This window comes from Homo sapiens, chromosome 2 (genome assembly GCF_000001405.40).
Source record: "Homo sapiens chromosome 2, GRCh38.p14 Primary Assembly".
NCBI lineage: Eukaryota > Metazoa > Chordata > Mammalia > Primates > Hominidae > Homo > Homo sapiens.
This window is the reverse complement of record NC_000002.12, coordinates 175595435-175608961: the sequence shown is the minus strand read 5'-3', so window position 1 is coordinate 175608961 and position 13527 is coordinate 175595435. Positions and strand designations below refer to the sequence as shown.

The window sequence follows — 13527 nt, the reverse complement described above, 5'->3', positions numbered from 1 at the left end:
ATGTCTGACCTCTTGCCAGCATGCTCCCCATCTGTCCCTGCCCTTTTCTTCCCCCAGGTTTCTATGTCCCTATCTCTTCTTGGACTGATGTCTACTCACTCTTACAGGCAATTTTTTTGGGCCTTTCTCAATTGATAACCTAGGCTGAACAACTGCAGTGACCTCTGTCACTGCCATGATTTTCTGCAGCTCACATGAATGATTTAAAAACTACATACCTGGGCGGGGCACAGTGACTCATGCGTGTAATCCCAGCACTTTGGGAGGCTGAGACGGGTGGATCACGAGGTCAGGAGATCGGGACCATCCTGGCTAACACGGTGAAACCCGTCACTACTAAAAATACAAAAAAATTAGCCGGGTGTGGTGGCGGGTGCCTGTAGTCCCAGCTACTCGGGAGGCTGAGGCAGGAGAATGGTGTGAACCCAGGAGGCGGACCTTGCAGTGAGCCGAGATCACGCCACTGCACTCCAGCCTGGGTGACAGAGTGAGACTCCATCTCAAACAAACAAACAAACAAAAAACAAACAAAAAACTACATACCTCACCAAGTGCAGAGGCTCACACCTGTAATCCCAGCATTTTGGGAGCCTGAGACAGGAAAATTACTTGAGACCTGTCTCTACAAAATTACAGGAGTTTGAGACCTTGTCTCTACAAAAATAAACTTAAAAAATGTTTTAAATTATACACATATTCTAATAAAGGCAAATTATTTTCTATTTCTTAATGTTTATATTTACAGTCAAAACTTTTATAGCACCACAAAGGTAGAATTCAGCTAAAGATACTCACCTCCCATCTCCATCCCCACTAACCTCCCCCAGCCCAACTCTTCTTATCCTAATAGGGTCGGATCAGTTCCCATGCCTGGGAGGGGTGTGGGTGGCTTCCCTCCACAGCATTGTGCTCAGTCCTATGGTGAAACCCTCAATCTAGCCTCTACCTTGCCTTTTGGCTGAATTATATTTTCTACTAGAAGAAATTGCATGCTACCATTAGAAGCTGTGCTGCCCAAGCCACTTCTGCTTGCAGGAAGAGTGAACATTTTTGCATGGTCCCTACCATGTGGGTAAGATCTCTGCCCCGTCTTCTTCCCAGCCTTGGAGCATTACCCCTGGTTGCCCCAGATGTTCTGGCTCAGAACTGCACTGAGGTGCGCTTTGTCCTCCCTTTGGTATTTTCTTCTCTCCTATTCTATCTCACTTTTCCCACCTTTTTTGTCTCTCTGCCTCATTTTCCTGTCCCTTGGTAAGCTATTTCTCACTTCCTGTCTTCCTCTTCTTCCAGGTCATTCCCCACCTTATTAAAAATGTTATCATTAAGTAAAGAACATAAAGAAAATGTTATCATTAAGCAAAGAACAGTGAATAAGAGAAAGTTTCCAAACAGTGAATTTTATTTTTAAGAAGTCCATATTATTAGCTGTGAGTCTAATTGATTTTATTTCTGATTTTTTATTTTGAAAAATTTCAAACCTACTAGAAAATTGCCACAATGGCACAAGGAACACACATACAGCCCTTGCCTATGTTGATCAGTTGTAAACATTTTGCCACATTTGTCTTCTCTTTGTGTATGTATTTTCATTATTTTTATCTTGCTGAACTATTTGAGAACATTGCAGATATCATAACCCCTTATTCCTAGATACTTTCAACATGTATTTCTTAAGAACAAAAACATTCTCTTGCATAACCACAATATGATTATCAAATGAAGAAAATCTAATAGTGGTACAATGCTATTATCTAGTGATCTAGCCCTGTGCATCTATTTAAATATTTGAAGGAAGAATTTGCATTTGGCTTTGGTTTACGTAATCTGAAATAGGATTTTATTGCAATTTTACCAAAATCCACCTCAATAGAAATGGGTGGTGGCCTCAAGGAAGTGCTTTTTACCCCTTATTTCTTAATTTATTTCACTACAAGGTACAGATAACACCAATAGTATCTATCAACCAAAGGCATTTAGTTGATGAAATGTATTTTCAGCACGTTAAAATAATTCAAAAAGTATCCAGGCACATATTCTATACTCACAAAAACCAGTGCCTAATTTGGAGATAACTTCCACAGACTTTACATGATATTTTGATACAAATTAATTTTATGAGGACTCATATTAAGGACCATAACCAATCTAGCTTTTTCCACAGATTTATTCACATTAGGTAACCCATTCAGAACGAGAACTAAGATGATGTTGAATTGGAACTGATAGCTCTTTGTTGTGTTTTAAAGGGAGAGATGTGTGCTTATACTGTACATATGTCAACAAGCAAGCGTACAACGTGCAACATTGTTGGTTTAAGAGCATCTGTATTCCTGAATCCCAGACAAACAGCTCTGCCTGACAACAGCTGAAGTCCAAAGTTCGACCCGAGATTGATTGTACCAACATGATTGGAATAAACCAAAAAAGAGATGCCTTCCTGGTGACTCACCAAACCCAAACTGATGCTTCTGGAATTTGTACCTTTCCCAGTTTGGTTGTTTTCCTGCAACATTAAGAGGCTATCCAGTCTCTTGCCAAAAGGGATTTGTCCTTTTTATCTAGTCAGGAGAGTGCTTCAGCTATTTGCATTTCTGAATTGCTTAGCTGCCCAAGCATGCTCGGTGTGTGCTGTTTGAAATGTGTCATTGAGGCACGTGACTGCTGTTCTCAAGCTGATGTTGGACTTTCTCCAACAAATATGGATTATGTTAAAGTCGGTTCTGAATTGACGAGGATATGTTAATAACTCCCAGATGGGCATCTCTGTGCTCTCCAGCAGGGAAATGCAAGCAGTCCATGGCAGGAGCAAGTGTTTGGCAGGTCCATCATTCCGTCATTAAAGGCCACATTATTACTTACAACTGTGCTTGCATGACAATGGCTGCGATGAGCCCAGCCTCGCAGTAATGAGCACTAGGAATCTGCTTTCAGGTAGATTGTTTTCCAGGTGGTGAAAAATATTTTGTTTGAAATTTCCCTCTTCCTATTGCCAAATAAGAAATTACGAATGAATCAAGGGGGCAAGGTGGGAGGTGGAGGGGGGTCTATGCTGTTCCTTAGAGACCAGGACAAGGCAAAGGTGTATGCTCAGGGATATATGCTCAGTAACCCTCATGCCAAACAGCCTGAGCTGTGTCCCTCAGTGCCTAATTCCTGCCCTAGCAAGTTCCAGTTGGAACAATTATTTACATTAGGGTTGTTTACAATGCGATTGCAGTTTCCATTAGAGGGCAAAGCTTCTTTGCCTTTGGTCCTTAAGCTACAACGTACGATTGTTTCGCAGTTGTCTTTTTTTAAAAAGAAATGAAAAATGTGAATCTCCTATAATTGTATTGCCAGTCCAGGGGGAAACTGAGTATATTTGATGTTAAATTCCAATGTGACAAGTGTTACATAGGGGTATTCAGTCCATGCATGATGTGGTTAACACAATTAATTGTGACAAAATTAGACATTAAGATGAAAGAGAAAAATTTGACCCAAAAAATCATTTACGTAACTGTGTGTAAATTTGCCATATTTTAGTAGAGTGGCGAGAGGCAGCAGGGTCTCCATTTGCAAAGTAAATGTTGCATGTGCATTGCTTTCATTTAGAATGTAAAATAATCTTTCATCCCAAAATATATGTTGTGATGAGAATGCCCGACAACGATAAAAAGTAATTGAAAACATTCAATTGCAAATGATGCACTTTCTCCTTTGCTTTGGTTCTCTTTTTCATTAACAAGCAATTCAGCCACAGAGAGTCCCCTTACTTTACAGTCAGGTAACTGGATTTTATGATGTCATTTCATCTGCATAGGCATATCTATATGTTCTTTTTTTTTTTTTCAGCAGCTCCAAGGAATTTAAAAGTATAAAACCACATCTGCCAATAACATTATGACGAACCATTTAGGATTTGGTTTTTTACAAGGCAGCAGCACTAAATGTCATCGATTCCCAGCATGCACTGGTATATTTTTAATGCTAACAGTCAGGATTTTAAAACATTTCATTTTAAGTCATTTAAAAATATCTAAAGATTAGCAAAAGATTTCACAGAGCTTCTGCATTGAGGCCTTCCTGAAGAGGGTTTATATGGGTGTGGGACCATGAGTTAACAGTTTGGATATTCCAGAAGGGTGGAAAAAAGATAATCCAGCTTACACGGTTTACTGTAAGAGATTGCAGCAAGGGCTCCCCATAGACCGACGCCCTCTTTGGACTATTTGCCCAGGGGAAGAAGAATATTGCCAAAACCTGGATGCAAACTACCCCAGTCCTCTATGTGTTACAACATTATGCTTCTTTATGTGTGAATATCATAAAGTATCTATAGTCTGATAGTTCACCCAACCTTGAGAGGTTGTATGTTTATTAAAAATACTTTCAGCTCACCCTCACATTGAGCAATGCAAAAGGGAGCCCAGTGGATTTGGATCCACTAACTCCAGTTCACAATTGTTAGGCTCCCTTGACTGAGCTTGCCCAAGCAATAAAAAGGGAGGGATTTTCGCTTAAAGACACTTAAAAGACAATTTTGCTTAAATTGACCCTGGGTATTTCTTTTCTTTTCTTTTTTTTTTAATACTTTAAGTTCTGGGATACATGTGCAGAACTTGCAGGTTTGTTACATAGGTATACATGTGCCATTGTGGTTTGCTGTACTCATCAACCCGTCATCTACATTAGGTATTTCTCCTAATGCTATCCCTCCCCTTGCTCCCCACCCCTGACAGGCCCTGGTGTGTGATGTTCCCCTCCCTGTGCCCATATGTTCTCATTGTTCAACTCCCACTTATGAGTGAGAACATGCAGTGTTTGGCTTTCTGTTCTTGTGTTAGTTTGCTGAGAATGATGGTTTCCTGCTTCATCCATGTCCCTGCAAAGGACATGAACTCATTCCTTTTTATGGCTGCATAGTATTCCATGGTGTATAAGGGCCACATTTTCTTTATCCAGTCTATCATTGATGGACATTTGGGTTGGTTTCAAGTCTTTGCTATTGTGAATAGTGCTGCAATAAACATACATGTGCATGTGACTTTATAGTAGAATGATTTATAATCCTTTGGGTATATACCCAGTAATGGGATTGCTGGGTCAAATGGTGTTTCTAGTTCTAGATCCTTGAGGAATCTCCACACTGTTTTCCACAATGGTTGAACTAATTTACACTCCCACTAACAGTGTAAAAGCATTTCTATTTCTTCACATCTCCAGCATCTGTTGTTTCCTGACTTTTTAATGATTGCCATTCTAACTGGCATGAGATGGTATCTCATTGTGGTTTTGATTTGCAGTTCTCTAATGACCAGTGATGATGATCTTTTTTTTCATATGTTTGTTGGCCACATAAATGTCTTCTTTTGAGGAGTATCTGTTCATATCCTTCACCCACTTTTTGATGGGGTGGTTTTTTTCTTGTAAATTTGTTTAAGTTCCTTGTAGATGCTGGATATTAGCCCTTTGTCAGATGGATAGATTCCAAAAATTTTCTCCCATTCTGTAGGTTGCCTGTTCACTCTGATGATAGTTTCTTTTGCTGTGCAGAAGCTCTTTAGCTTAATTAGATCCCATTTGTCAATTTTGGCTTTTGTTTCCATTGCTTTGGTTGTTTTAGTCATCAAGTCTTTGCCCATGCCTATGTCCTGAATGATATTGCCTAGGTTTTCTTCTATGCTTTTTATGGCTTTAGGTCTTACGTATAAATCTTTAATCCATCTTAAGTTAATTTTTTTATAAGGTGTAAGGAAGGGGTCCAGTTTCAGTTTTCTGCATATGGCTAGCCAGTTTTCCCAACACCATTTATTAAATAGGGAATTCTTTCCCCATTGCTTATTTTTGTCAGGTTTGTCAAAGATCAGGTGGTTGTAGATATGTGGTGTTATTTCTGAGGCCTCTGTTCTGTTCCATTGGTCTATGTATCTGTTTTAGAACCAGTACCATGCGGTTTTGGTTACTGTAGACTTGTAGTATAGTTTGAAGTCAGGTAGTGTGATGCCTCCAGCTTTGGATACAACTTACAAGGGATGTGAAGGACCTCTTCAAGGAGAACTACTAACCACTGCTCAAGGAAACAAGAGAGGACACAAACAAATGGAAAAACATTCCATGCTCATGGATAGGAAGAATGATTATTGTGAAAATGGCCATACTGCCCAAATTAATTTATAGATTCAATGCCATTCCCATCAAGCTACCATTGACTTTCTTCACAGAATTAGAAAGAACTACTTTAAATTTCATATGGAACCAAAAAAGAGCCCATATAGCCAAGACAATCCTAAGCAAAAAGACCCTGGGTATTTCATAAGTCTTCAAAATGTACTTTTGTACTATTAATATTTCATTAAAGAATTTCAGTTAATGAATTTCTGTTTGCAGAAAGTTTGGGGAGTTGGCAGGTGTAATAGAAAATACAAGATACTATATTTTAATGGCCATTAAGTTGAAACTTTCAAGGTACTATAAGACCCCAGTTAGTTAGCTGAATATCACAAGTGGTTCATCATTGTCATTAGGTATTAATTAGGCAGCTACAGAGTGCTAGACACTCTGCAAAACTCACAAAAACGACTGTCTCTGTTTGGGGGAAACTTACACTTCTGGGGGTGGTGATCTTTGTTGTTGCTATATTACCATTTGTAATGAGCATTCTTGGAATGAAGGACTTGGTATTTTGAAAGAGCTTTACGGTTTCTAATTATAGTCTCAAGAGCTCATAGCACACAATACTACATTTACAGGAAAGGAAACCTACCCCCAAAGATGTTATGTGGCTGATCTGCCATTACAGTAAAGGCTTTTTGACACCCTTTTAAATGTTATGTCACCTTTGACAGAACATAATCTAACAACACAAAAAGGTATGAAATAGGAGAGTTTGAAGAAGAGAGCCTTTTGTGTAAAAGCACCAATGCTATTAAGATCAGAGATAAACACAGGTAAAGGAGTAATGTTTTTATTTCACCTTCTTTGTCCTTTACTACATAAGACAATATTCTTCTCATAATGGCATTCAACTTTCTGGATGGTTAAAAAGAGGCTTATAAGAGCAATTGAAAGTAATATGGGCATTTTAATATTGTGACACTTAATGCTACATAAAACCTTTGTTTCCTATAGGTTTATTGAACTGGTGTATTAGATTTCCTGCTGTATGAGCAGGAAGATTATGGTGGCTTAGGTCTAAGTATACTATGGGGAGGCATTTTGTATTTTCTCTATAAATAGTCTTTCTAAAACAACACAATTGTGTAACTATTAATGTTTATATTGCATTATACATCTCCCAAAGTTTACTATGCATGGTATAGAGTGTGGTAACCAAAGGAAATGTTTTTATCTATGAAATACACTGGGAATTGTCATTATTAAAGTAAATCTATTTTATTTATTATCTCATCAGTAGGATTTTCATGCTTTGGTCTTACATTATGGTATTATGTCTATAAGCTTCTAGAAGCTAAGCATTTAAACGTACATATGCACATACTGCATGCATGCATGTATATATCATGTTTTGAAATAAAAGCTATAGCAGAACTAGAAGACTAAATTTTCAATGGAAATAATTACATTTGGGTAAATCCAAAACGGGCAGAAAATTTGAAAAATGTTGGTTTCAAGTGTGTGGTTTTCGTAGATGAAAAATTTGATTAGACTATTGTTCAGAGTGTGTGTCAAAGCTTGTTTTTCATACTGAAATAATTTCTCAGGCTTAATGAAAATAACCAAATCATGAATTCCCTTATTAAATGTGCATTTTTCAATAGCTAATGCAGAATCAACCTCATAAGTGCAGGACAAAATGTAGCCCTGCAAAAGTACAGCACAGATTCCAACTTGGGTTACAATTTTGTCCCAGTTCCTGGGGTAACATAACCTATGGTGAAATTGTATTTCTTTGTGTGAGTAATTTAATGAGCAATTTCTTCAGAATTTATAAGAAAAAGGCCCCAGACCTAGCACTGCAGGTCCCCCCAGAGCCACTTTTCCTTCCATACATGAATAGCCAGTTTCATTATGTTCAAAAGCAAAGCAAGAGAGAAACAAATGGGGAGGGCTGTTACATCCAAAGAAATGAAAGATTATCTTCTCCAAGCAGCAGAAATGAGATGTATTGGGCCTACCTTTGAATCACTCTTAGCTTCAGATGGAACATGACGTATGGGTAATCTGCAATTTGCTAGGGGCATTGTTAGCATGCATCGCCTCCAGGGTAGGATTTTAACCAGGCCTCCAGCAGCTGTGTGTTTGGCGTCTCAGCCACATTAGGTATACAGAACCCCACTGCTATTACCCTGGTGAAACCCATGCCAAGGCCTCTGGTGACACAATGGAGGTATTAGGTCAGATGAGTTACATTAAGTGGCAAGTGATAAATTCAAGATGACAATTCAAAACAGCAGTGTTTCTTCTAAGTAATTAATTCCAGTGGTGCCTGAGGCAGTGCTTGGTCGCTGCCACTGGTGTGGCAATGCTGCGTAGCTAATGAGAAAACATTACAGTGAGGATTAGGGGCCTGTGCATTCTGGCAGGCTGAGGTCACTATGATTAGGAAATATTAACACAGACTTACTGTGATAAACCATACAAGCCCAGGAAACTTAATTTTTATTTTATTAATGTAAAAACTGTTGAACACTATACAATGTGGCGATTCACTACGTGGGCTAGGGAGAGCAGTGACACATTCCACCCAGGGTCTGGGACAGCCTCTCAGGGCCTGTTGGGATGGTGACCAAGGCTTGCCAGGGCCACTCACATTCTTTTCATTCTTTTCTGCTGTCTGTGGAAACAGTGTCTTTGGCACAGAGGGAGGCTATAAAATTATGGGCCTGTTTTATTTTCCCAAATATGATTTAATGAAAACCTTTTGTTTTATGACTCACCCTCCTTGCTTAAGAGATTACTCTGAAATAGTTATATGGTGATCTTGTCAAGCAATGGACAAGGAGTTTACTTTCTCTTGCTAAGTCTGTCCTTGAAGAAGGAGTGATAAGAGCACATCAGATTTCATAGTGCTATCTAATTTTTAGAGGACTTGATCACATTTATTCGGACTGCCAAACAATCCTATGAGCTATGTGAAGGATGTGTTGCCATTCCAATTCGAAACGTGAGAAACTCGAGGCCAGAGAGGTGAAGAGAATGGGACAAGATCACACAGGTTACACGTTTGGGCCAGAACTCAGCACCAAAAACAGCTAGTATGTTGCTCCCGTGAACATCACATAGTGTGTGCAAAGCTAGCCACCAAAACAATTTCCTGTAAAATTCCCAAAGAAGATTCTGCTGAGAACTCTTTTGTGCACATACACATGCGCACACACACACACACACACACACACACACACAATGTGAATTCATCTCTAGTGAAGGACTTTTAGTTTGAGCAACTACAGATGTCTTATGGTGTATTGGATATATGACCTATAAAATACCTACTAAACACTTTGCCTTTGCACTGAAAAATGAACTGCTCCTAGAGGTAAGGCTGCTTCCTTATCACCTGCTGTAAATTGGCTCTGGTGTTTGGTACTCAGATTCGATATGTGCTCTGTCCACAGGTATGCATGTGAGTGAACGGAGATGAGTAGAAAGGCCATTAGCAACACGTGTTCCCTGAAATGTTGAAGTGTCACCAAACACTCAGATCTTAATGGTCCAAGCTTCTTAGTTTATTAAGAAGCTGATTACATTTTAGAGAAAATAAGAAGAATTATAAGTACAGTACATATTTTTTAACTCTATAGAATACATGATATTGATCTTGCATTGGTAACAATGAAGTTTAGCTAGTTCCATTTTCCAGAATGATAGAAAATAAATAATGAAGCAAGCTCTTTCTTCATGATAGTAGATGAGGAGGGCTCGATTTCAACAAAGTAACAATTAAAAACGGTTTGTAATGATGCATATGCAATTCTTGGCATCTTTGTATATGAAAGCAAAACTTAGGAAAAGTCAATATTTAGGAAATAAACCTATCTTTTATTTATATATTTTGAGCTGAAGATGTGAAAAAGTGCTGAAGAGTTTGTACACAACCTTTTATCAATTCTATGATAAAAATGTACAAGAGGCATGACAATGAGAGATGGCTGAATTAGTAAAGAAGTAGTGTAGTACTGAAGTCTGACCATCCATTTGTTCACAGTAGGAAATAGTAATTAACATGTGATTAAAGGCAATGAATTTGAATGAACTGAAATGATTTTTATCTTTATTTTTATATTTTAATCTTCAAATAGTCTTACCTTTTTCTTAAGTTTCTATGGTTGAACAAAAGAACATTACAAGAATCATATTATGAAAGCTAAAATCTACTGAGAACAAAATAAAACTTTAGAAATGTGTAGGAAGTCATGGTTAAAAATTATGACCCTAAGCCAACTTCTATCTTAGGGAAAGAGAGAAGACTGCATTTTCTTTTTTAAGTGCTTAAAAAAAAAACCTTCTGTTTAATTTATATTTAATTTATATCCTACTGTTTAGATGTTTAATTTATATCCTACTGTTTAGATGTCTAATTTTATCTGTATGTTCATATTTAAGAACGTAAAAATTCCTTTAGTCAAGAACTACAAAACACTGCTAAAAGAAATCATAGATGACACAAACAAATGCAAAAATATTCCATGCTCGTGGATTGGAAGAAACATATAGTTAAAATGGCCCTACCACCCACAACACCTACAGATTCAACGCTGTTTCTAAGTACCAATGTCATTTTTCACAGAATTGGAAAAAGCTATTCAAAAATTCATAAGGAACCAAAAAAGAGCTCAAATACCCAAAGCAATCCTAAGCAAAAAGAAGAAAGCTGGGAGGCATCACCTGACTTCAAACTATACTATAAGAATATAGTAGGCCAGGCACAGTGGCTCACGCCTATAATCCCAGCACTTTCAGAGGCTGAGGCGGGTGGATCATGAGGTCAGGAGTTCAAGACAAGTCTGGCCAAGATGATGAAACCCCATCTCTACTAAAAATACAAAAAAATTAGCCGGGCATGGTGGCGGGCGTCTGTAATCCCAGCTACTCGGAAGGCTGAGGCAGAGAATTGCTTGAACCCAGGAGGTGGAGGTTGCAGTGAGCCGAGATTGTGCCACTGCACTCCAGCCTGGGTGACAGAGTGAGACTCTGTCTCAAAAAAAAAAAAAAAAAAAAATACAGTAACCAAAATAGCATGGTACTGGTACAAAAACAGACACATAGATCAATGGAACAGAATAAAGAACCCAGAAATAAAGGTGCACACCTACAGCCATCTAATCTGTGACAAAGTCAACAAAAATAAACAATGGAGAAAGAACTCCCTATTTAATAAATGTTGCTGTGATAGCTGGCTAGCCATATGCATAAGAATGAAACTGAACTCCTACCTTTCAGTATATACAAAATTTAACTCAAGATGGATTACAGATTTAAATGTAAGACCTCAAACTACAAGAATGCTAGAAGAAAACCTAGGAAACACCACTCTGGATGTTGGCCTTGGAAAAGAATTTATGACTAAGCCCTCAAAAGCAATTGCAACAAAAACAAAAATTCAGTAAGTAGGATCTAATTAAACTAAAGACCTTCACAGCAAAAGAAACTATCAACAGAGTAAACAGACAACCTAAACAATTGGAGAAAATATTTGCAAACTATGCATCTGAAAAAGGCCTAATATTCAGAATCTATACAGAACTTAAACAATTCAACAAGCAAAAAACAAATAGCTTCATTAAAAAGTGAGCAAGACGTGAACAGACACTTCTCAAAAGAAGATATACAAGTGACTAACAGACATATATAAAAATGCTCCACGTCACTAATTATTGGAGAAATGCAAATCAAAACCACAAGATACCATCTCACACGAGTAAAAATGCTTATTATTAAAAAGCCAAAAACCAACAGATGTTGGCGAGGCTGCAGAAAAAAGGGAAGGCTTATACACTGTTGGTGTGAATGTAAATTAGTTCAGCCACTGTGGAAAGCCATTTGGGGATTTCTCAAATAACTTAAAACAGAACTACCTTACTGGGTACATATCCAAAAGAAAATAAATCATTGACCAAAGAGTCATATGCACTCACATGTTCTTCAAAGCACTATTCACAATAAAAAAGACACAGAATGAACCCTAGGTGACCATCAGTGGTGGACTGGGTAAAGAAAATGTGATACATATACACCAAAGAATACTACACAGCCATAAAAAGAACAAAATCCTATTTTTTGCAGCAACATGGATGCAGCCATAGGCCATTATCCTAAAAAAATTAACGCAGGAACAGAAAACCAAATACTGTATGTTCTCACTTATAAGTGAGAGCTAAATCTAGATACTCATGGGCATAACAATGGCAACAATAGACACTAGGGACTACTAGGTGGGAAGAGAGAGAGTGAGGCAAGGATTGAACTAACTGTTGTGTATTATGCTCCGTTTCATACCCCAAAGCTCAGCATCATGCAATATACCCATGTAACAAACCTGCACATGTACCCTCTGAATCTAAATTAAGAGTTGAAAATAAAATAAATAAAATAAAATAATAAAGTATTCCTTTAGTGAAGAGTGAAGTAAGTCCTCATTTCAGGTTTTGGCTGGAATGTTAATATTTTTGCAGCGACAAATAAGTCTGAAAACAAAAGATTTCTAATTTGAAGCTTGTCACATATCTAAATTACTAGACAGCTTTTAGTTACTTAAAACAATACCAAGTCTTACATAGAAAAGGTTCTAGAACAAAACTGTTAGTTCATCTAGATTCAAACCTGCTTTTTACCTCTTTTGAATAAGCCACTTGGATATCACAGGCAAGCCTGAAACCTATCACAAACCTGGCTATTTCTACTTTGTTTCTGCCAACCACAGGATTTCTCAAGGCCTCATATTTTAAAATATTTTCTGTTATGATATGAGAGGAAGAGCACTGGACTGGGAGTTCAAGGATTTGGCTTCCAGTTCTAATCCCACTTCTGACTCACTGAATGAACAGTGAGTTCATATTTTAGGCCTCAGTTTTCTAATCTGTAAAATGAGAGCGAAGGTTCCCAAACCTAATATCAATCACATGATGTGCATTTGCAAGGCCTTTTTAAATTGTGTAAAGTTGTTTATACATTCTTTAAATTATAAGGGTAATTTGTACTTATTTTTAAAAACAAAACAAAACAATCAGAAAACATAAAGAAAAAAATTAGTTCCTTTTTCACCATACTTGCTTCCAGTCTCACTCTCCTGAGACAACCAATGTTAAATTTGGCATTTGTATCAGTTAGGATTAGGCTTAGTTGCATATAATTGAAATATACCAGACAACAATGACTTAAACACAACACAGGCTTATTTCTTCCACACCTAAAAGATGTCCAGATGTTCCCGTGTAATAACAAGACAGGTATGATGGCTCCACGGTGTCATAAGGGACTCAGGATTCTGTCTTTACGTTCCACTATCCTAGTTCATGGCTGCCATCCTCAAAGTCACCTCATGATCCAAAATTGGCTGTTGGAACTTAAGCCAACAGAAACACATTG

At 37.8% G+C, this 13527-nt stretch overlaps 1 long non-coding RNA gene across 1 annotated transcript in view; it reads left to right on the top strand.

Moving 5' to 3' along the window:
- Nucleotides 1-13527, top strand: part of LOC107985962 (uncharacterized) — a 243604-nt gene extending 230077 nt beyond the window's left edge. The window contains exon 4 of the long non-coding RNA XR_007087312.1: nucleotides 1-13527. This exon is cut by the window's left edge and continues 24552 nt beyond it. This is a non-coding gene — a long non-coding RNA (uncharacterized LOC107985962).